The sequence below is a fragment of the Homo sapiens genome, chromosome 11 (genome assembly GCF_000001405.40).
Source record: "Homo sapiens chromosome 11, GRCh38.p14 Primary Assembly".
NCBI lineage: Eukaryota > Metazoa > Chordata > Mammalia > Primates > Hominidae > Homo > Homo sapiens.
Window position 1 is genome coordinate 117,768,326 of NC_000011.10, and position 23,598 is coordinate 117,791,923.

Sequence of the window (23,598 nt, forward strand, 5' to 3'; positions counted from 1 at the left end):
AATATTTGAGATAAAAACATGATGGTGGTGATCCATCTTGCACAGTCCTTTGTAGCTTTCTCAAGATCATAGTTAGGTGGATTCACTCTCCATCTGTGACTCCAGGACCACCACCTCTTTGGGTGGCTGCAGCCCCTAGCTTACCACCTCTAGCCCAGCACCCAGAAAGGGGAGCACAGGTGGTGAGTAATGATGCCAGATGATGGAGAAGACAGGGCGAGGGAGGTGAGGTCTAAGGTTGGACAACTGCATGAAGCTAGATGGGCAATTTCTCTGATGCATTTAGGTGACTCCTTTCCCATCTAAGAATTTGAGTCTCCTCAGAGGCCCAATTTTTATTTCAAGGATTCTATGTGCAATAGGTTTTATCATTCCCATTTTATAGATGATTAAACTGAGGCTTTGGAAGTAACTTGCTCAAGGTCACCAATTAAGACTAGCAGACTCCACAGCCTGTCTTCTTTCCAACACATCCCACTATATCTCCTGTGAATTGTTTGCTCATAACTGTTACCCAACTTTCTGTGGATTGTCTTTTTCTTGTTGATTTGCAGGAGTTTTAAAATATGGTGAAACCCCGTCTCTACTAAAAATACAAAAATTAGCCAGGCGTGGTGGTGTGTGCCTGTAATCCCAGATAGTCAGGAGGCTGAGACAAGAGAATCACTTGAACCTGGGGGGTGGAGGTTGCAGTGAACCAAGATCACCTGGGTGACAGAGCAAGATTCCATCTCAAAAAAATATATATATAATCTATATATAATATATATTTTATATATATAATAGATATTTTATATATATTATGTATATTATATATTATATATATTTTATATATATTATATATTTTATATATATTATACATATATATTTTATATATATTATATATTTTATATATATTGTATATATTATATATTTTATATATGTATATATTATATATTTTATATATTTATATATTATATATTTTATATATTTATATATATTTTTATATAATATATATTTTATATATATAATATATATTTTATATATATTATATATTTTATATAATATATATTTTATATATTATATATATTTTTATATAATATATATTTTATATATATTATATATATTTTTATATAATATATATTTTATATATATAATATATATTTTATATATATAATATATATTTTATATATATAATATATATTTTATATATATTATATATATTTTATATATATTATATATTTTATATATATATTTTATATATATTATATATTTTTTATATATATATAGTATGTTAATTCTTTGGGAGATAATATAGTCCAGCACTTAGGAGCACAGATGATGGAGTCTGAATGCATAAGTTTAAGTTGTGGCTCCACCACCTACTAACTTTAAGCAATTTACTTAGCGTCTTTGTGCCTCAGCTTGCCCATCTGTAAAATGGGGGAATAAAAGTCCCCTTGTCTTCAGATTGCTGAGAAGGTGAAACAAGCTAAATATGTCAAACGCTTAGAACAGAGCCTGGCAACTTAGTAAGTGCTCAATAAATATTAGTCATTATTATCATGTTGTCCCTTATTCTTTTTCCCTAGATCTAGGCAGTACCTTCATGAGTTAAATGGCCCAGTGACCTCTCAGGTCTCTCACCACTTCTTCTTAACCCTCCAGCCATGTTCCCAGATCACCCCAGCCTTTCATTGCCCATTTGCCTGTGCCTGCACTGTCACCTCCACCTAAAGTGCTCTCTCTGCCCTTCTGACCTGGTCACAGACTCCAGGGCCTGACTTGAGGGCCCGTCTCCTTCAGCATGCCTTACTGTGTGGCCATCAGCAGAAAGAGTGGTCCTGCGGTATCCTCCTCTTTGTGGGAAGACACTATAGTCCCAAGACAGAAGCCAGGAAAGGAACAGATCATGGCCAACCTGGACTCCTCTGCAAGGCCTGGCACTGTGCCTGGCACCCAGCAGGGGTCCAAGCTCCTTTTGTTGAATTGCCTCGGATCTATCATCTATTTCCCACTAGTGCAGGGTGACAATCCCAGCCACTTTTCTCCAGACTCATAAGTAGTTAAGAGCTTAGGTCCCCAGTTCTACATCTGAACAGCAGAGAATCACAAGAGGAACACACAGAAGCAACTCGGCATTATGGAGGTGAAGGACCACCAAGATTAGACACTGGTAATGCCACCGATTTGCCACGGGACATTAGGCAGGTCTCCCAGTGTCCTCCATTCCACAGGACGGTTCAGTAGGGGAGAGACTGTCATTTTGTCATCACCATTAATCACTGGAGAGAAGAGAGGTCTGAATAAAATATGAATCCTGCCCCTGATGATTATACATTCCTGTAATGGGGATAACACAGACCTAAAAAAAAAAAAATACAGGACAAAGTACGATTAGCGTCTTGAGCAAGGAACCGATAAAGTTTGGAGGGAGTTCAGAAAAGGAGCCCCTTGGAGTGGGTTAATCTGGGTGACTTTTAAATCCATTCTTAGCAGAAATCGAGGAAAGACATCATGGAAAAAGTAGTATTTGAACCAGACTTTGAAAGATGCATAGGCTTCAGACAGACAAAGGAGGAAAAATAACTGGTATCTGTAGTGAAATACAAAGGTGCCCCATGAGTAGTTAAAATCATGTGCCCTGAGAGTGAGCAGGAGAGGAGAGAAGATGGCAGGAGACAGCATTGGTCTAGGCCTCAGTTTCTTTATCCATAAATGCAGAGGCTGAATGACACAGTCTCCAGGGCACTCTCCAGCTCTCAGTCTGTGATTCCACATGTTCATAGCCTACATGTGGCCCAAACTGGTTTCCAGCACCGGCACCACCTCCCCTCTCTGTGCCCATCTCCCATTCGAGTTGGTGTAGATTCGTGGGAGCCAAAGAAGTGACCTTCATGTCAGCCTGAACGAAATGTAATTAATAAATTGAATTTGCATTCCAAAGCCAAACCAAGATCACATTTGTTTGTTGTATTGAGATTATCCATCCCCGTCCATCAGAGCCGACAACATGAGCTGAATCCTAAATTCCCAGTTTAGGACAGTCTTTGTGTCTCCCATGGGGCCAAAAACAGAGCCAGCGCCCAACAAAGCCTTCTTGTTAGGATGGCTGTTTCGTTCACTGGTCTTTAAGCTGGAGATCTGTTGCCCTTCAGAGGAGCCCAAGCCTCTGGTCACTGCACACACAGCCAGAGGTCAGCACAAGGGTTGGTGGCAGATTTCTGTTCCCAGGCAAGTGCAGGAGACAGAGATGGGCCCTCCTCCTATGTGGAAACCTAAGGACACCCGATTCCTAATGATTCCCAGTCTGCTCCAGAGAGGCGGCGGGAAGTAGAGGAACCGGAAGACCGGCTCACATCCGGGCCACATCTCTTATTAGCTGTGTGGCCTTGGGTAACGTGCTTAACTGCTCTGGGCCTCAACATCCTCATTTATAAAATGAGAAAATAAAAACAAAAACAGAACATAAAAACATTATCTCTCTTAAAGTGTTATTGTGAGGATTAGAGATAATATATATAAAATGCCTAACCCAAAAGAGGTCTCCATACAGCATAGGTATTATCATTAATCTTGTTATTATTATTATTATTCCTCTGTGACAGTCCTATGCTGGTTCTGGGGATAAAAAGATGAAAGATACAGTTGTACACCCTCCTGCGGCAGACAGATAGAAATAACGGACTAGGACGCAAGACAGAATGAAGGCAGGGCTCCAGGAATGAAACCAGGGTAGTACTGTCTGCCCGGCAGGCCTATGTCTGGCCTCGTGGAAGAGGGCATGTGGACGAAGTGTAAGGGACAAAAGAGGGGCAGGGTGTCAACAGAGAGAGGAGGGGGCCACTGTACCCCAGGCAGAAGAGATCGCTGAATTGAATGAGAGCTATGAAAACCCATTTGGCACCCTGGAACTCTGGAGTTCATTATTCTAGGGAGGCTGGTAGTTTACTTTGCTCTCTTGGCCAAAGGTGGGCTGCAGGGAGGAAGCACTGCCTGATAGGAATCCTTATATGACACTAAGAGACATTTTCTCATGTCACAGGACCCCTCTGGCCAGAGGCGTCCTTGCCCGTGTCTCCCTACCCACAATAAACAGTGTCCTCAGCGCACTTTCAGCCTGGCAAGGCACGGTGACAACTCAGTATCCCCATTTGCATGGACAAAGGAGCTGATGCAGGCTTGTCTTCCTGAGCAGCAGCAGACACATCTGGCCCACATCTGAGCAGTGTCCCAAACTCCCCGCTGGGGCCAAGATAGCCAGTCAGGATGCTGGGGAAGAGCATGCTGGGAGACTCCCACAAGGGGCCCACATTGATATAATCAGGTCTGGTGGAAATTAAAAGCTATTAGGAACAGGGCCAGATTTATCTTTATATCCAATAACATGTATTGTAATGGTGATCATGCAGATGGGAAATTAAACCACATCTCAGCTTCACTGGAGGCGTTAATTTTAATTTATGTTTGTGCACAGCCTTTGGCCCTCTTACCCCAACCCTGCCAGCCTTGGAGAGCCAGTTCACACCAGGATCAGTTCCCTGGAGAGAGAAGCAAGGGTGGGAGTCTGCCAGATACAAAGTGAGAGGCTCTATGCTTTACACACATCTTTAAACAGCGGATGGAAAGATGACCCACTTGAGGGAGTGGAGGCGGGTATAGTAGGTGGCTAAAGGGTAGCACTTTGGGCTGTTTCTCCAGACTCTCCCTGCCCTGGGCAAAGCACAGCCAAAAAGCTGGTGAGAGTTTCCTTGGCCAGCTTCAGGATAGCCAGGGATAGCCGGGAAGGCTAACCTGTGAGTAAGCACCCAATTCATGGAGATTGTTTTTGGTCCCAAGCCTTCAATTCTTCCCAGACTCCTTCAGAAAGAGGCGTGGGAGAGCCAGCTCCCATCCACAGGGGCTGCACCCACATGAGGGCCCCCTCCTCCCAGGGCACCTGCATCCCCAAGGGGATGCCTCCTGGGGCTCTGATGGGCCCACACCAGTCTCCCTGCTCCTTCTGTGTTCCAGCTCCTGCTGGACTTGTGGTTTGTGAAGCTGAGCCCAGCCCTGCAGATCCAGAAATCAAAGTCAACACAGTTCCTCTGGCTCCGGAAGCTGATCCTGAAGTGTCAGAGGGAAGTATCCCTGGCTCTTCCATCCTCCATTAACCTTCAGGGCAACTTGCCATGTAATCTTCCCCTACCATGAGAAGTGCCATCCAGCCTCCTCACCTCAAAATGCACACACACACACACACACACACACACACACACAGCACAGCACACACACTGGGCATAGTGTGAATATGGTTAGTGGAAAAAAATCCTATTTTTATAAAAAATCGAACTACTTTCATTTGCCAAAATTAAAGCATGTGGCATGTGGGCCCAAGTTCTGGTCCTGCACCTACAGAGCCTGGACAAGACAAAACTCCACTCTCTCTGGCTCTCATGGAGTCCTCCATGATCATGCTAGTTGGATTTCTGCACTTGGAGAAGACTGGCCCCGGATCTAACATGTAGCTGTAGAATGATCTAGAATGATTATAGATGGGGCTGGAGGGCTGGGCCAGGAGAGGAAAATTCTCCAATGCCAAACTAAAGAAAGGGGTTCTGCAAAACCGAAGTTTAACACAGCCCTGCAGATTAGCATCGAGGCCACTTTCCTGATAATTATGCCCTATGGGGCCACCAGCCCAGTCTTGACATCAAAGACAGCCCTGAAGCACCAACTACAGGGGCCGCCTGGGGGAAGCTCCCTGCCTCCAGCTCCTAAGCACAGGAACCAGTTAACCTTCCTTCTCTCCTATCTGATCTGGTCTTCTCCCCATCCCATGCCCAGCCTGCTGTCTTATTCCATGTCTCTGTCCATGCCATTCCCCAGATTCCTCTGGAATTCTTCCAGCCATCCATTCATATACTCACTGATCATTTAGTGAGCTTTTATTTACCCTGAGTGCAGAAAGTGGAGATGTGTGGATGAGAACAATCCAGTTCCGGCCCGTGGGAACTGCAGTCGTGTGGGGAACACAGACACCATTCCATACCAGAAACACACACCACTGCAGCAAACCGCAAGCGCAAATGCTCTCTTCCACCTAATAATCGCAATAACCTGTGCTCAGCAACTGTCGGGCAGTGTTCTAGACATTGTTCATATATTGATTCATTTCATTCTTACTCGAACCCTATGAGTCCATTTTACAGGTGGGGAAATGGAGGGGGTAAATGACTCACCCAGCTAGTAAGCAATGGAGTGAGTCTTAAATGCAGGTAGTCTGGTCCTAGATTCTAGGCTCTTAATCACCACACTGCACTTGGTTCCATGAAGCCATCCCCACATCAATTTGTTCCCCTTCCTAAAGCCAAAGGCCTCACTGCCTACAGTACACATTTAAAGCCTCCACTGTAGCCAGAGTAACACTTTATTGGATACATTTATACGGTGGGTGAGGCACGTCTGTGTGGGGTTAAGCACACAGGTTGAAAAAACAGACTCTGGTTCCAGCCCCACCCTCTGCTCAGTGTGATTCAGAAGGTACTTTACTTCTTTGAGCCTCAGTTTCCTCTTCTGTAAAGTGGAGAGGGGAAAACACATTTACGGACTTTTTGTGATGATACAAAGAGATCCTGTATGGAAGTTTCTGAGCCCTGTACCTGGGATATAGTAAGCACCCCCCAAATTTTAATGCAATAATTATCATTATTTAATGGATGTAATGCTTAGTCTATAAACTTAAGTATATAAGAAATACCACATTTCTTTATGTTCTTTAAATCACCTTAAATCTGACTCTGCTAGATAGGCAGGAGATTGTCCCCAACATTATTGGGGCTTCTCCCAGGGTATGCCAAGGTCCGAGGTACCTCTGCTCCTCACCAGCCCATGGTCCCTGCCTGAATGATTGCTTTGGCTCTTGGGCTGTGCACCTCATGACTCATTTGAACCCAAGAACCCTGGACTCAGCCTCAGACCCTGCAGGACCCCACACAGCCACCCCTGCGGGGTCCAACCGCTTCTTCTGGCTGCGTCCATGGAGCAGCCTTCAGCACCATCCTCATCCCTGGCATCCTTTCATCTCCTCTTTGTTCCTTGCCCTCAGAGGCTCTCCTCCCCAGACAAAACACCCTTCCTAACCTTTGCTATTAGCCTATGGTTTTACAAAAGACAGGAGGAGCAGCTGTCTTCCAGGAGCTTCGAATTCCCATCCTGCTACAAGCTCTGAAGTCAGGAGATATAATGGCCTGGCCATCTGCTTGGAACTGAGAGAAGGAAAAAGTACTGAGTGTAAAAGGCAAATTAATGTCTCAAAGAAAGTCTCCTGCTGCATTAGCTGTCAACACGCCAGAGCATGGTTCTTGTCCTAGGTACACATCAGAACCACCTAGCGAGCATTGAAAAGGCTGATGCCCAGGCTCTACTCCTGGGAGAGTCTAATTCAGTTGATTTGGGGCTAAGCATTGGTGTTTCTAAAGGAGCTCCTCGGGGATTTAAATGGGTAGCAGGCTTAAGAACCCCTGCTTTACAGGTTCCATGAATAGAAGTCTTATCTTCCCCAACTAAATCATCAACCTTGAGGAACAAGAATCATTTCAAACAATCAGTTATGAGACCTTAATGCTGAAAGGGCACTCAGAGATCACCTGGTCAAGCTGCTCCAATTTACAGCATGGGAAACAAAGGTCCTGGGTAGAGAAAGGAAGAAAACGCAGCAGAACCCCTGCAATGTGCGGAGATGAAGAAATGGGTGGTGGAAAAATCCCGCAGTTTTGTAAATGGAGGCCTAGAGGTATTTTAAAGACCCAAGGTCCTCTCTTGGGGCTTCTATACCTGTTTTCCTGTGGCTGACACAACCCCAGAGAGGTAAAAGGAGCCAATAATGAGGGACTCACAATCACGGCAGCTGTGATGAGATGAACCCACAACATGGTATGAACCCAATTTCCCAACATCAGCCTCAATGCGAGGCCAGCTAGAATTCCAATGGAGTCTTTAGCCAACTCATTCAAGAAGGGAAGAAGGAAAGTCCCCATACACATGCTTCCTGAAGTCAGGTCCTCCAAGGAGGCAGTGCTCACTGTTTTAGTCACACGACGCAGGAACACAGACCACAAACCCGCCTCTCATTCCTCCTCCCCTTGCCACCTTTCGCAGGTAAGGTGCTTCCAGCCTTGCCTCCCGTCCCTCAGGGCTGGGTCAAGCAAAGCCCCAGCAGTCAGAAAGGATGGGGCTTCCACTGCACTTGGTGTCTGATGGGACCCTCACAGACCCAGTCAAGACCACCAGTGTGTGAGTCTTCAACACCCCACAGAGAGACGTGCCAGACCAAGACCAAAGACTTTTTTTTTTTGGCCAAAGCTTCACCAGAACAATAACAAGTCACTCCCCAGAGCCAACCTCAAGATCTTATTGAGCTCAACAACCAGCTCAGGCATCTCTACTTTATCCAGTCCCCACAGAGGGAGCACCTCTGTCTGCCGCAGCCCCGGGACGCTTCTTACCTGGGATGATGGAGACTGTGTCTTTCTCCCAAGATACAACGCTAACATATTCCTGCACTGAAGAGGGGATGAGGCACTTGAAGACGGCCACGTTGCCACGCATTGACCTTTGATCCTCCACCCGGACGGTGTAGGGTTCCCTGAAAACTGCAGAGAGATTGGCAGTGGGGAAGAGAAGAGTGTCACAAGGATGTGGTGAGGGTCCCCAGAAAGGAACAGGGAGTCAGCTCAACTCCCTCTGCTCCTTCAGCCTCACCTTCCCACTTCTTCCTTCCCCCATCCTGCTTAGCCAGCCTAGAAGCCCCTGCCATGATCTTGTTCTTGTCTGGGCAACTCCTTCTCCATCAACCTCCTCCCCATCCTACTGGGCAGCCTTTTCTCCCTCAAAAATATCTGGCCTCCCTCTGCAAGACCATCCATCCAAATTCCTACCTTTCCCATTTCGGTATTAGCAAGTCATATTAGATTGTAAAAGCCTTGAGGGCAGCACTAAGCCCTGCAATGTTATATTCACCAAGGGGATGTGCAGGTAATAAGGAAATATGCTAGAATTCCCCTAAGAAAACCAAACCGGATTTCCTGCATTATTGCTGGACCCAGGGTGGCAATTATTTTGGACACAGTGACCATAATGCACCCAAACAAAACCTGTGACACATGCTCTAACAATTGAGTTTTGGGCTCCTTCAACATGAAAGGCAGCCTGGGAAATGTAGTTCAGATCCTGAGCTTACAAGGACAAAGGGAGAGAATGTTTGGGACTACGATTGTCTCTGAGCACACAGAATCCTAGAGACATGGACACAGTCTCCAAGATTCTCCAAAACAGAGCATTCTTGCTGCTTTCTTCCTGCTTCTGACCCTGGCTGCAGCCTCTACAGCACCCCTCCCTGACCCCCAGACTTGCCCCTGCTTTCAGAACCATCCCTTCCCCCACCGTGCCCACCTCCTGCCTCAGCTGGCTTCTAGGGCATTGCCAACTGCAGCCGCTGTATGTGTCTGGCCCTACAGGCAGGCAGACCCAGCCCTAGGAATGGGACCAAGGCTTCTGCCTCTGCCTTGTCCTCCTCTGTTTGGCCTCTCCCAGGCCTCGCTTGATCCTTCCACCCCCTTATCTGCCAAGCAAAGCTGGAACATCCAGAGCCCTGCTGCCTCCCGACCTTGTCCCTCAGCAGGCACCTGGGCAGCGTGCCCTCCTCCTCTCCCTGCCATGGTTGCCAGGGTGACACTTAGGGCCCTGGCAGCCCATCCCCACCCCCTGACTGTGCACCTGCAGCCCCTCTGGCATCATCAAGAGTCTCTTAATTGACTGTGTTTCCAGTCAGCCTGGCTCTTCCCGGCCCTCCCTCGGCCTTTATTCTTTCCCCTTCTCCAAGCTGTGGCTGTGATGAGGAGAAGATGTGGTTGAGGTGGAAGAAAGAGAAGAGAGGAGAGGCACTGGTGGCTCTGTGGATCTGTGGTCCAGCCCTTCCAAAGGTTTGGGCAGAGCCCTGCCTCCAGATATGGGAGAGCACAGAGGAGAACAAGGGGAATGGACCCTGGAGGGAGGCAAGGTGGTGGAGTGGAAAGAGCGGGCTGGGGTGCACGCCACCTGTGATGTCCCAGGGAGTCAGCAGAGGTTAATGGCTAACGGCATCTAACAAGCGGGCCCTGCCTCCTCCACTGGCCCACTGTGTGATCCTGGACAAGGGTTGGTTAACCTTCTGGAGCCCCAGTTTCTTCATTTATGAAAGGAAATCACCATAAGAGCAGCGTATAAAAGGCCCAGCCCAAGGAAAGCACTTTGGCAATGTCACTTTTCATGATAGCTGCACCTCTGCGATTAACTGGCTATGTGCCCTTGGGCAAGTGACTTAACTCTCTTTGTTTTAATCTCTTCATTTGTGAAAACACATGTATAGACTTACTGTGAAAACTGCATCCTAACCCAATGAGGGGGAGGTGACAGGAAACATGGTCCCTTCCCCTTAGCCCAATCCTCCACGCTGTGGAGGCCAGAGCTGGGCTCCAAACCCAGGCCTCAGGGCTCCCAGCCCAGCACTTGGTGCTGCATTAGGGGTTGAGCCGTGCAAAGCACTTGCTCCTAAAAAGAGTCCATGGGGAGCCCAGGGAGAAACCCTGAGCATATCTCTGTGTTCTAAGAGCTCATGGTCTAGCCCCAAACCAACCAATGGAATGAAGGACAGCTCTCACCCCACCTCACCCCTACACACTCCCGTTCCCAGCTACTTTAAACCTTGCTCTTATGAGAGGTGTACCTAAGGGAAAAGGACCCCAAGAAGTCAGAGAGGGTCTGTCACCACATGCTGGTTGGGAGGCCTTTCCCAGAACCACTCTCCCTGGTTGGCCCAACACAGTCCCTGGAAAAGATGGTGTGACCTAGGCCTGGCACCATTGCAGTGGGCTGGGTCTTTAAGTTGAAAAGCTCTTCTAAGTTGAAAACCATTCCCAAAACGTCAGTGCTTTATAATGATCCGAGACCCACCTTACCATTGATTGTGAGACACCAGTGTACCCTGGTGTCCTAGTGAAGAATGGCTGATCTTAGCTGTCCCCTTGGCCTCCCGACATAATCCAGAGAAATAAGACTTTCTTTTTTCTTAAAATAGACCACCTGAGAAACCCTACCTCCTTGCCTCCACCTACTCTTCCAAAGACCAAAATCCTTCACTGCTAAAAGTCTTTCATCGTGAATTTTACCAAATTGCCTTTTCTCATGAGATATGTCATCCTCAGACATCCCCTCAGCAGTAGAATGGACAAAGAAAGTGTGGTCTAGTTGCATGATAGAACACTAGGCAGCAGTGAGAACAACCAACCTCCCACCACACACAGCAGCAGGGGTAAATCCCATAAGCAGAATGGTGAGCAAAAGGTCTAGACAATATACACCGTTGGACACCATTTGTATAAAGTTCATAAATAAGCAAAATATCTACATTGTTAGAAATCAGAATAGTGGTGGCTCTTAGGGGAATAGTGTCACAAAAGAAGCTTGAGGAACGCTTCTAAGGTGCTGATGTTGTATTTCTCAATCTCAGTGTTAGTTGAAGTTTGTAAAATTTCATCAAGCTACATACTTGTAATGTGTGCACTTTCCTTTATATATTATTTTTCAATAAAAGGCTTCAAGGAAACCTCACTGCGGGTTTTCTATAAGTCAAGGGGGCTGAAGTGAGCACCTCATTTAAATGAGCACCAACTCATTTAACCATCACACGTAGTGATACAGAGGTAGGTACTTGCATCCACTTTGCAGATGGGAAAACTGAGGCTTAGGAAGGTGTCTTCTCACCACTGCACTCCAGTCTGGGCGACAGAGTGAGGCTCTGTCTCAAAAAGCAAAAAGAAAGAGAGAGAGAGAGAGAGAAAGAAAGAAAGAAAAAAAGAAAAAAAGAAAGAAAGAAAGAGAAAGAAAGAGAGAGAGAGAAAGAAAGAAAGGAAAGAAAGAAAGAAAGAAAGAAAGAAAGAAAGAAAGAAAGAAAGAAAGAAAGAAAGAAAGAAAGAAAGAAAGAGAGAAAGGAGAAAGAAAGGTGTCTCTTATGCCTATGGACACACAGCAAGTGGTACAACAAAGATTCAAAAGAGAACAACAAAACTGTTCTTGAGTGAACGACTTCTTGCAAGCCCCTCCGAATATCCTCAGAATGACGGCGCAGCCTCCTCCTGTGCCACTGGGGCAGCCAGTGTCTTGTCCCTTACCTGCTTTGACGCGGATGTTGGGGCTCCGGATCTTGCCGGCAGCGTTCTCCGCGGTGCAGAAGTAGTCATTGTCGTGGATAAAGCTATTGAAGGCGGAGGGGGAGAAGGGGTAGAGCTGCAGCGTCCCGTTGGCGTGGACGTGCCGGATGTGCGGCACGTCGTAGATGTCGTCCCCTGTGGCCAGGTACCATCGAAGGGCCGCGCTGGGGGAGCCCGCGGCCGGGCAGGGCACCACCACCCCCACGGAGCTGGAAAAGGTCACCTGCTGCAAGGAGTCATTTACAAAGTAGAGGCTGGTGCCAACATCTTCAGGGCGGGCTGCAGGAGAGGCAAGGGGAGAGACTTGGTTAGCATGGGCTCTAACAATACCCATATAAGCCACGGAGGCTTGCGACAGGCTGCACTCATTCACCTGACCTTCAAGCATCAGTCATTCAGTATGCACTTATTGAGCACTGACTATACACCAGGCACTGGCAAAGGTGAATCAGAGACAGTTCCTGATCTATAGAAAACCACAGCCTTCGGGTGCGGCGGCTCATGCCTGTAATTCCAGCACTTTGGGAGGCCGAGGCGGGCGGATCACCTGAGGTCAGGAGTTCATGAACAGCCTGGCCAACATGATGAAACCCCGTTTCTACTAAAAATACAAAAATTAGCCGTGCACACGCGTCTGTAGTTTCAGCTGCTCGAGAGGATGAGGCAGGAGAATCGCTTGAACCTGGGAGTCAGAGGTTGCAGTGAGCAGAGATCATGCCACTGCACTCCAGCCTGGGCAACAGAGCAAGACTCTGTCTCGAAAAAAAAAAAAAAGAAAGAAAGAAAAAAAGAAAAGAGAAAAAAAGAAAATCCCAGGATTTTTGGAATTTGTTCAGAATCACACAGCTAAGGTACAGAACTAAAATGTGAACCCATTGCTCCTAAAGAGGATTATAGTGCTCTTTCTATCATCCCACAGACGAAAGTTGTAAAAGGTCTCAAAACCATGCTCTGAGATGAATGGCTACAGGAGCTGGGATGCTCGCCTGGAATGGAAGACGGAAGAGTGCAGGAGACCTTGACAGCTGATTTGGGAAATGCGTTGCCACAGAGGACTGAATGAGGACCAGCAGAAGAGTGGGTGGATAAGATCTAGACTTAGGGCAAAAGACCCAGCTTCTAAACCCAGTCCTCACACCATGTGACTGTGCAATTCCCTTCCTCACTTGGATCGTCTGCTCCTTCACTTGGAAAATGGAGGGAGAGGATGGGCAAGACTGCAAAGACCGCTTCCATCTCTGACATGGTGCCATTCCAACCCTCAACCACATGGGAGAATGTTCTTATGATTACAGCTGGCAGTGGCAGGGCCACCTGACTCGGAGGACTGGCCATCTGTTCCTCTTATCCCAGCATCAGGCCTAGATATTTCCTGCTCTTATCCCAGCAACCCTGAATGTTGGAATCAAGGGGTGTCCCCCTTCCTCTTGAGGAGCCTGCCCCTTTAAGAAATCCATTGCCTAGCAAGTGGACACCAACCCAGAGGAAGAGACGGCAGGGTCCCAGGTCTCTAGCCGGAAGCCACTCTCTCTCCACCAGGAAGGTCAAGGAGCAAACAAACCACTCTGCTGCTTGTTTAAAGAACGTTGCAGGGGACCCAACTTGACCTCAATGTCCACAACTTTATAGGATGGGGGAGGGCCCACATCCGGCCGTATTAATATTCTTGGCTTAACTCTGAACCGAGCCTCTGGGGAGAATATACCAGGCAGCTCGTTGAGGAAGGCCATTAAGCCTCATTGGTCAGAGCAATTCACATCGTCTCATAAAAGCCGTGATGGAGCCATTAGCAGACGTGCTGGAAAACACATTCGTGGGCTTCTTGCTGCGGTGTCAGGAGCATCCTCTTAGCAGCAAGTGCATTTGCTGTCCCCACCAGGCACTGCACTCATAGCAGCTAAAGGCACTTTCTTGGAGAGGGGAGCCACATGGCCTCGCCATTCTCCTCTTCATGCTGCCTACTCTTGTGACAGTCATAAAGTTGGTGGCCAAGCAAGTCTGCTCTGCACGGGACCCTCAGAAGCTCTGGAAGCATGCCCAACTTGCTGTGGCTGGAGTGTTCCCCAAGAACATGAAATCATGCCATTTCACCAGGCAGCAAACCGAGGCTCGGGAGGTTTCTCTTAGAATATACACTTAGCAGGTCCCACTTCCAAGACTCTTCTCACTTTCTGAAAGCCTTCCTTACTGACATCCATGCAGCAAATATTTGTTAAGCATCTTCAATGTGCCAGGCACTGTTGTTAGGGACTTTACTTATATGACTTCTTTTAATATAACACTAAGAGACAACACTAAGAGACAGGTACTATTAGTATCCCAGTGTACAGATGAGGATACTAAGGCACCGAGAGATCAATGCAACTTACCCAAGACCACAAAACCAGTAAGTGAGGGCACTGGGACTCAGACTTTGGCAATCTGGCCCTACAGTCACTGTCTTAACCATTCTGTGATGTATGACCACAGTGTAACCACTGCAATAATAAAGAGGGACCTTCACCTTCCTCAGACATAACCTGGCCACCAACTTCCATTTTCAGCTGGCCAAGAACACACAGGTGCACACACACATACATGCACATACACGACACACACACTCCTTCCTGGGAGCGGTTTCTGTTGGATTCTGGGCATTTCAGACAATACTTTGCTTTTGGGAACAGGGACATTGCTCCGGGGTCCTGGGTGCCTCCTGAGAAACCTAGGTAATCAGGCACTCTCACCTTGGCAGCTTCATGGATTTGGGAGCCAAAATCCATCACAGTACAGAAAGACTCTACATTGTGCCTGTAAATGGACTTAGGAAGCCAAGAGAATCCCCGACAAGGAGGAATTCAGGAATTGATTCATGGGAGAAGGTAAGTAAGTTCTCAAGGCTAAGTATGATGTAGCCCTCTGTAATGATAATAGTAATAGCAATAGCCAGAACTCCAGCAATAGTAATAGCCACCACTGACTTCATTGTTAACTACAGGCCAGGCTCTGTGCCAGATCCATTCTAGATACCGTATTTATATTATACAGATATTATATTTAATCTTCATAACTCCCTCGGGGGTGTTATTATTATTATTTCCATTTTACTGATAAGGAAATTATGACTCTGAGAAGTTCACTAACTTCCCCAAAGTGATACAATGTGCAAATGCCAGAGCTGGGGCTAGAACCCAGCTTTGCCTCGCCTCAGAGCTGGGGGATGCACCTCCTACTCTACTGCAGAAACCCCATGGAAGACAAATAAAACCACAGAATATGGTTTTTCAGGCTGGGTACTTTTCCCAACCCTTCCTCCACCCCAACCGCATTCCAAACACACATTCCCACTCTCCTTCTCTCCTGGATGGAAATCCATTCCACTCTCCCTGCCTCCTGAGATGGCCACTTCCCCAGGCCCCCTCTACTCCCTCCAGGAGCAACAGCCACAATGACAGCAGCCTTCCTGCACTCCTGGGCCTCGGATCTTGCTGGAGCCAAGGACACAAGGTTCCCAGCAACTACAAATGGGTAGATTTAATTGATGAATTGACTGGGATTGTCCAGCCACCTGTCAGGGCTGATGAAAAGGCAGATTTATAGCAAAAGGCAAGAAGCCTCATAGTTCTCCCACCCTGGGATGTGAGCTTCTGTCTTCTGAGTCTGGGGGAGCAGGGGAGGATTAGACACACCATTCATTTCTGCGTATGGCTCTGACAGTGCATTGCCATCATGAAACATCACCCTCAGGTGTAAAACAATAGCATTTTGCACTTACATTGGGTTCATATTTTACCATCACAAGGCACCTGTCAGCTCAGAATGCAGAAACCCTTAAATCACCATTAATTTAGCCTCGCCCTGCCTGCCAAGGGAGTAAGCAAATACATAAAGAGGAAACTGAGGCACAGACCAGCAAATACCTCAAATCTCTGCTATGTGCCACGCTGAAGACTGGGCACATGGGCAGCAGGTTAAGTGGCCACAGAAGCAATGGGTGTGTTCAGAACTCCAGGGACAGAAGGGGGAGTAGTAGGAGCCTGGTGTCCTAACTCTGGCCTCACAGAGTCTGGTGCTGCCTCTACAGCAGGGGTTTCCCCACCTTCTCAGACTCATTTGAATCTTCAGAGCGGTGACAAAGCCCTAGCAAGCTCCCAGAGGAGCCCCAGACCCCTGCCTTGAAGTCTGACAGAACTACCTCCCCTCTGGGTGCTCACCCCTCACCTGCTGTGTGACCTCAGGCAAGCCGCTTAGCCCTCCTGAGCCTCCTTTACAAAAGGGCAGGATGTGATTGCACCATCTTAGCTGCCTCCCAGAGCTGCCAAGATGGTGGAATGGAATGGGGCAGTTCTTGATTCCCCATGAGGATGTTATAATATGCGAGATAGGGATTGTTCACTCTCCCTGAGGGGTCGAGGGTGCCTAAGGTTACTGCAGGGATGGAAGGGCACAGCTCCACCCTGCAGCTCTGCAGAATTCCAAGCCCTCTCCAAACCCTACTTCCTCTCGGCTGACTCCTGCACCCTTCAGTGTCCTCCTTCCCCAGTCATTTCTGATCCAGGGACCAGAGAAGACATTCATTGCCTCAGGAGATATTTACCAAGCACCAGCCACGCGCTGCACCACAGTATCCCAGGTATGGTGGGAGGCATCAAAGACAAGGAGAATGGCTCCACCTTCCAGGAGCTTGTAAAGGACAGGGGGAGCAGGAAAGGGGGTTAAACAATAGCACCAGGCCATATGTGACCCGGGGGCTGAAAGCACTGATTTAGCCAGGAGCCATGGGGAGGGAAGGGGAAAGTTATTCAGCAGCCAGAGAAAAAGCGTTGGGAAGAGGTAGGAGCTGAGCTGAGCTGGAAGACCTGGATAGGTGGGGTGACAAGGGGGGGCACTCCCAGAGAAGACAGCCCAACAACAGTGGGTGAGGCATGCATGTTGGGGGATGCTGTGGAAACCTTGCAGGCTGGAGCACTGGGTGGGTTTGGGGAGAAGAGCTGAAACCAGCTGGATTGAGGAGTTTGGGCCTCAGCGGTGGAAGACAGTTGGGGGTCGAAGGCAGTGGGGGATATGTGGAGGTTTGCAAGCTTAGGAAAGCAAGGTTTGAGGGTCCAGCAGTCCCCGACAGTGGTGCCTGAGGTTATCCAAGTTCTTGTAGTCCTTATGTCTAACTTCTGTGGCATTTTGGCTGGACATCTATTTCCCTAAAGTCTTATTGGCCTAATGTTGTGGAGTCCCCAAAAGAAAGGAGACTCACATTTTGCAGCACCTTCTTGTGCCAGGCACCAGGTTTGACCATTTAATCCTCACACAAAGGTATGAGGTGGAGGGCCCATTAGTCTCATTTTAAGGGTGAGGAAAAGGAGGCTGAAGGAGTCGACATCTTCTCCAAGATCCTACAGCCAGGAAGAGATGGAGTCAAAATTCAACCAGCTCCAAACCCGAGCTTTTTCCATCATGTTGTTGAGTTCAAAGTTTGGGCTCTGAAGAAGTTTCCCCTCATGCCTTCTCTCCAAGCTGGTCCCAATTTGGAAAGCAAATCCCCTGACAGAGATTCCTCCCTTCCCCTCCAATCCCAGCCACTCCCCGCAGCTCTTTCTTCCCTCTGCAGACAGAACCAGGCATATTTACCGAAAGAAAGAAGAGGAGGGGGAACACTTCATAAATAAAGACAGAGACACTCAGATCAACAGCAAGGCTTCTTCTGGTCAAAGGGGGAAATGGATTTTTAATAGAAAATGGAAGTTATGGGCTTGGTTGTCATGTGACAGACGCCCAGACTTAAACCCATTTAATCTTCTCTGCCGTTTAACATTGAGCACCACCCCGATGCTGTGTTTCATAAAACAGGCTCCAAATTGCTAGGAGATTAGAAGTGTGGAAATAGCACAGCAATATTTTTAAACCAGAAATCGCCCCCAGGCATTTGGGCTGCCTGCCCCCAGGGTCACCGCTGAAACCTAAGTATCCATTGCATCAACTCACTCGCTCGCCCTCCACCGCTTGCTTGGGCATCAGGATTAGTTTTGCAAAGGGAACTCGAGCCCCGTGTATGTGACCCCCAGGGCTCCCACCCCACCTGCCTGTGTGGGATGGAAGTGTCTGTCTGCAGTGGGAGGAGCTGGCTGACTGAGGTTGCTCTGAGGTGTACACTGAATTACCCCCATGTCATCATCTGTAATCATCGTAAAGGACAACCCGAGGGGACTGAAATATTAACACCTCGCCACCTCCACTGGGAGATGAGTCATTTTGTTCTCTTCCCTTACAATATTTACTCATCTCATTCACTGGACTTTTCATCCAGGAGTATCTGCCAGCACTGGGGCCCCTGCCACACCCCCTCAGAGACAGGCAAGATCCTTCAAGGGCAGCCTCACCCAGGCATGGCAACCATTCGTAGGAGAGGTCATGGGTCTTCAGGGGAGCAGGGGGCAGGGGACAGGAGGAATGGTCAGGACCAACCGGCCAGTAGGTATTCTCTCCCTTGCAAGGCCATTAGCTCCCCGAGGGCAGTGACTGTCTAGTCACCACTCTGTCTCCTGGGCACATACTAGGCACACAGTACAGTAGTGAAAAGCCCACCCTCTGGTACCAGGCTCCCTGGGTTTGAATCCCTACTCTGTCACTTACAAGCAGTGTGTGTAACCCCAGGCAAGACTGCCTCACCTTTCTGTGCCTCAGTTTCCCCATCTATACAAAGGTGGTGACAATGTCTACCTCAAGGGTTGTTATGGTTGGACGAGTTAATATATATGAAGAGCTTGGGACAGTTTCTGCTTTATGTAAGTGCCTGGCACCACCTAAGTATTTGTGGCTGTTGTTACAAGCATTATCATTATAGCAGGCAAGCAGTAAGTATTTGTGGGAAAAGTGAATCCTTGTGCAACAAATATTTACTGCTCACCTCTGATGATAATAATAATAACCTAAAACCGTGGTTCTCAAACATCAGTATGCATAAGAATCACCTGGAGAGCTTGTTAAAAATGCAGAGCCTTAGATAACAGATTCACCAAGTCTGTCATAGGGCCAGAAATTCTATTTCTGAGACTGGTGTCCTCTGTCTATACTGAGAGTAACAGTCCTTTGGAAAAGTAGATTTGCCATCCTGGACTTCTATACTTCCTTTCCCAACGACAGACAATTGTCATCTGCTTGGCTGACAAGACCCTACCACCACATTAATTAACTTAATTTGGAGATCAAGATAAGAAAACAACAGTGGTAGAATCAATAGCAACAGAGCATTGCAGTAGCCACACAGCTTTTGCTAATTCCCAGGCCTTACGCAGAGTTCTTCATGCAGATGTGAGCTGGAGAGGTTTCTTGGATTGATTTGCAAGGTTGATTACTTCACTGTATTTCCACACAAAGGTTTTCATGGGAGATGTGTTATGTGCCCTCACTCTGATTGTTCTCATCCCAGAGTTGGAAAAATTGGTTCTAGAGAGGATCAACCAGTAGGGTGATCCTCCCACCGGCTCACCCACCAAGTCCATTCAAAACCCAGAGGAGGACCAGCCAGACGGTGTCTTGCTGCTTCACTAAAAACCCTTTATGTTGCATCTTGGAAACTGTCTGAGCCCAGACACTGGCAAGGAGAGGGTTGAGTTTCCCAGACAGCATCAGAGCATGTACCAGGCAGCCTGAGCTGGTATGGTCCTTGGACAAGAGGAAGCAGCGGGCCAAGTCCCATGCTCTCTGCCTGTGATGTCCACCCAATCTGGCACACCTGCTCCACCACTACCTTCCCCATCACAGTGCCATCTTTTGGTTTTTTTGGTTTGTTTTGTTGTTGTTGTTTTGTTTTTGTTTTTGTTGTTGTTGTTGTTGTTTTGAGACGGAGTCTGGCTCTGTCACCCAGGCTGGAGTGCAGTGGCACCATCTTGGCTCACTGCAACCTCCACCTCCCAGGTTTGAGCGATTCTCCTGCCTCAGTCTCCTGAGTAGCTGGGATTACAGGCGTGCACCACCACGCCTGGCTAATTTTTGTATTTTTAGTAGAGATGGGGTTTCGCCATGTTGGCCAAGCTGGTCTCGAACTCCTGACCTCAAGTGATCCGCCTGCCTCGGCCTCCCAAACTGCTGGGATTACAGGCATGAGCCACCATGCCCAGCCCCATCATTTCTTTGTAGCATTTGTTTTGTGCCAGGCATGGTGGGAAGCCTTTTTCTTGCATTATTGCACATGTAATTCTTACAACAGCCCTTGGATGTAGCTACTACTCAAGACTCCATTTTACAGATAAGAAGACAGGCTCTTAGGTCAAATAATTTCTTGGTGTTGCACAGTTCGCAGTGGCAGAGCTGCATTTCACATCTTTATGCCAGGATGTGTGGCTCAGCAGGCACATGACAGGCTAGATTCAGACCATCCCCATGGTGTGAGCACACTGTGGGGGGATTTTCTGACAAAAGAGATCAATTGGGGTATGATAATTCAGAATTACCTGGGAATCTCCCTGTCATTAGACATTCCATCCCTCCCCCAACTAAACGCCAGCAGCTCCCCACCCTAGTCATTGAGATGACCAAAAAACGCTCCCCATTTCCAATCCCCATGCAAAGCACAGCTCAAGTGTCCTCCCTGTGTCCATCAGAAACATGGGTGGTTTTGCTGTTTGTTTTTAAGATTCTTAGCACAAACATGGTTTCTGTGACCAGCAACCAGAAACCTGCGAGGTCCAGTGGAGACGCAGCTATCCTTCAACCTCCAAGGCCCTGTGCCATCAGCTCCAGGAGAAGTTATGAGCAACAGCTGACTGTCGGACAGACTCTTTAATCTTCCAGCCCTTTCTAGACAGGGCCTGTCAAAGGAAGGTCCCTTATGGCCAAAATTTCTTTCCAGGGAGTCAGCTCAGACAGCACAGTTGTCCCCAGAGAATCCTAGATTTAGATTGTTAATGCTTGAGGGACTTAAGAGATTATTTTTTCCAATCTCCTCCATTCACAAGGCCTAGAGAGGTGGAGTCATCTACCCCAGGGACACAGCTCACCAGCATCCCAGCTGGGGCTACAGTGCTGTCTCCAGTGTTCTCTCAGTTCTGGCCACCCTGCTGTCAGAAAACTAGCCATTGTGGAACTCAGGAGCACCATGAAGCACCGAAACGATGTCATTCGAGGGTGTATCAGAGCAACTAGGGATGCTGCGTGTCCAGAGCAGGGGCCTCAGATGGGCAGGACATCTGCCTATCACAGTCGCAGGGCTGTCAAGTGGAAGAGGGCTTTGCCTTGCTCTATGTGGTCCAAGCGGTGACATCAGGACCAGTGAGTAGAAGGTCCAAGACCACAACAGGGTTTGACTCATTCTAAGGATGAGCTCTGTAATAGTCAGAGCTGTGTGGCCAGGAATGGGCTGCCTTGCAAGGAAGGAGTCCCTGTTGCAGGAAGTGCTAGTGAAGACAGAAAAAGACACTGGGTGGGAAAGCTGCAGAGGGAGTCAGCCTCTGATTAGGGGACAGATTCCACAGCCTTAAAGATGCCTTCCAACCCTGCAAGACTTTTACCCAAGGTGATCACCTGAATCTCCCTCTCCCACCCCCAACGCAGGGGTCCTATCCTCTCTCATACCCCACGACTGCGGGAGGGTCACCCTAGTAGCAGGGTGTCCACCAGTCTCGACTCGGCAGAGTTTTCAGAGATTCCAGTGAATACTGTGACCTTAAATGAGGTCACATAAGATGGGACTGTGCCTACTGCTCTTCCCACAAAAGACTGTGGATTCCCTGCAGGGAGAATGTCCCTTTGGGGGAGTTGGTCCAGAGGACTATGGACTACACTTGCATCTAAGAACCTTGGAGGGGAATGGGAGGAGGGAGAAGAGGTAGGCTTCCTCCCACTCCCACTACCACTGGGGCCTCAAGGGATCTGCCAAGTTTGCTCCAGGAAGACTATTGCCAGCCTGGCTGTGCCTCATCAGCTGTTCCCCATGATGCTGAAAAGCAAAGCTAGGAAAATTCTCCATATGTTGGGGCCCACGGAGGGGGAGACAGCCACAAACAGCTGTGAGACCTTCATCGTTCCTGTATGATGAAATGACAGTAATTATGCCTCACATTTCAGCAGAGCATTTATAAGGCTAAAACGGGTTTGCTGTGGTTTTTACATGTGTGTGTTCATATGTTGCCTCATTCTGTATACAAAGCACTGTCACATGATGTACATTTTTATGCCTCTTATTCTTATTTATGCACATATACAGTAACAACTGCTCTGTAGGATAGCCAGGACGGGGGTAATTTTGCCCATTTTACAGATTACGAAATAAAGGCACATGAACCATTAGGCAACTTGCCCAGGTAAGACAGGCTGAGCTTTGTTTTTTAGGTCCATGGATAATGTTCTTTCCAACACACAGACACACATACACACATGCACGTGCAAACACACATGCATCTCTTTAGAATCAGTTTAATGGATATGCAACTAACTAGCATTTGAATAATTGTTGTTAATGAAGATGGTGACCTTGGAAACTGTTAGTGCAAGCATCATGTAGAGACAGGGCACAGGGAGTGGGGCAGGGCAGCTGAACGAATGAGGGGAGTAGCAGCTGGAGTGGCATGGGTGGTCCCCAAGGCTAATGCTGTTCACTCTAAAGCAGCACAGGACAAACATCTGTTTAACAAGGCACACAGGCTGTGGAGCCCACAGCCTCCCCAACATGTAGGATCCCACAGGCCATGGCCTGCCATAGGCAGCACTTGACCTCTGGGTTACATGCTGCTTCCCTGTGACAGACTAGGTCATGGAAGGAAGAGCAGTCCCAAGGTCACAGGCTGCCAAGAGTGTTCTCTATATGCAAAACTGCCTGAAAAATAGAGGTTCATCTCAGCAGGGAGAGACACAGAAATACATCCAGCAACAGTTATGAGGGCTCCCTCGCTTTGTGAGGAGTGCTTACGCAGGCTTTATGGCATGAACTCCAGAATAGTTCTTACTCTGGCCAACCGTGGTAGAGATTTAACAACCAACCCCAGCCTTCCTTTGGCAGATATGAGACCAACCTTTGCCTCACCTCAAATCCAAGTCTGGAGCCAACTTCAGCCCTCTTCATTTCCACTGATGGCCAGGGGAAGGAAGTGTGCTGGGCACCCCAGGGACACTCAGGTGACCACATGGCCTCAGCCATGTGGAGTCCTACATGCTATCCAGCTAGGTGACGGATGGAAGGAGTTGACGTCCCCTGTCCTGGCCACTACTCTGTCTTTCTTATTGTTATAAAGTCTAAGCCAACTGGCTTGGCCAAAAATGTGGCTGATTAATTCAACTGCTTAGGGAAGGATCTGATGATGCATTCTGGAGAGGGGGCAGGGAGAGGAAGGTAGAGGCAATGCAGAGGAAAAAGTAGAGGTCTAATGTTTATTGAGCACTAACTATGTTCTGGCTACTTGATATGCATTATCTTCTTTAATCT

At 47.9% G+C, this 23,598-nt stretch overlaps 1 protein-coding gene across 5 annotated transcripts in view, besides 1 other annotated feature; it reads right to left on the minus strand.

The window, feature by feature from the left end:
• DSCAML1 (DS cell adhesion molecule like 1) overlaps positions 1–23,598 on the minus strand; it is a 389,743-nt gene that overhangs the window by 340,554 nt on the left and 25,591 nt on the right. For 4 of the 5 annotated variants that reach the window (NM_020693.4, XM_011542917.3, NM_001367904.1 and 1 more), the window contains exons 2-3: positions 12,168–12,485; positions 8,466–8,612 (exon numbers count right to left, since the gene is read on the minus strand). In NM_020693.4, the coding sequence (NP_065744.3) occupies positions 8,466–8,612; positions 12,168–12,485 (465 nt within the window). The remainder of the gene's footprint in view (positions 1–8,465; positions 8,613–12,167; positions 12,486–23,598) is intronic. The other variant, XM_011542918.2, reaches the window with a different exon arrangement.
• Positions 12,363–12,862: an enhancer, noted in NCBI's record as "H3K4me1 hESC enhancer chr11:117651403-117651902 (GRCh37/hg19 assembly coordinates)". NCBI's record gives its function as "activates a minimal SCP1, AML or CMV promoter by ChIP-STARR-seq in primed H9 embryonic stem cells {active_cell/tissue: H9 hESC(primed)}" and the evidence as "EXISTENCE:reporter gene assay evidence [ECO:0000049][PMID:30033119]".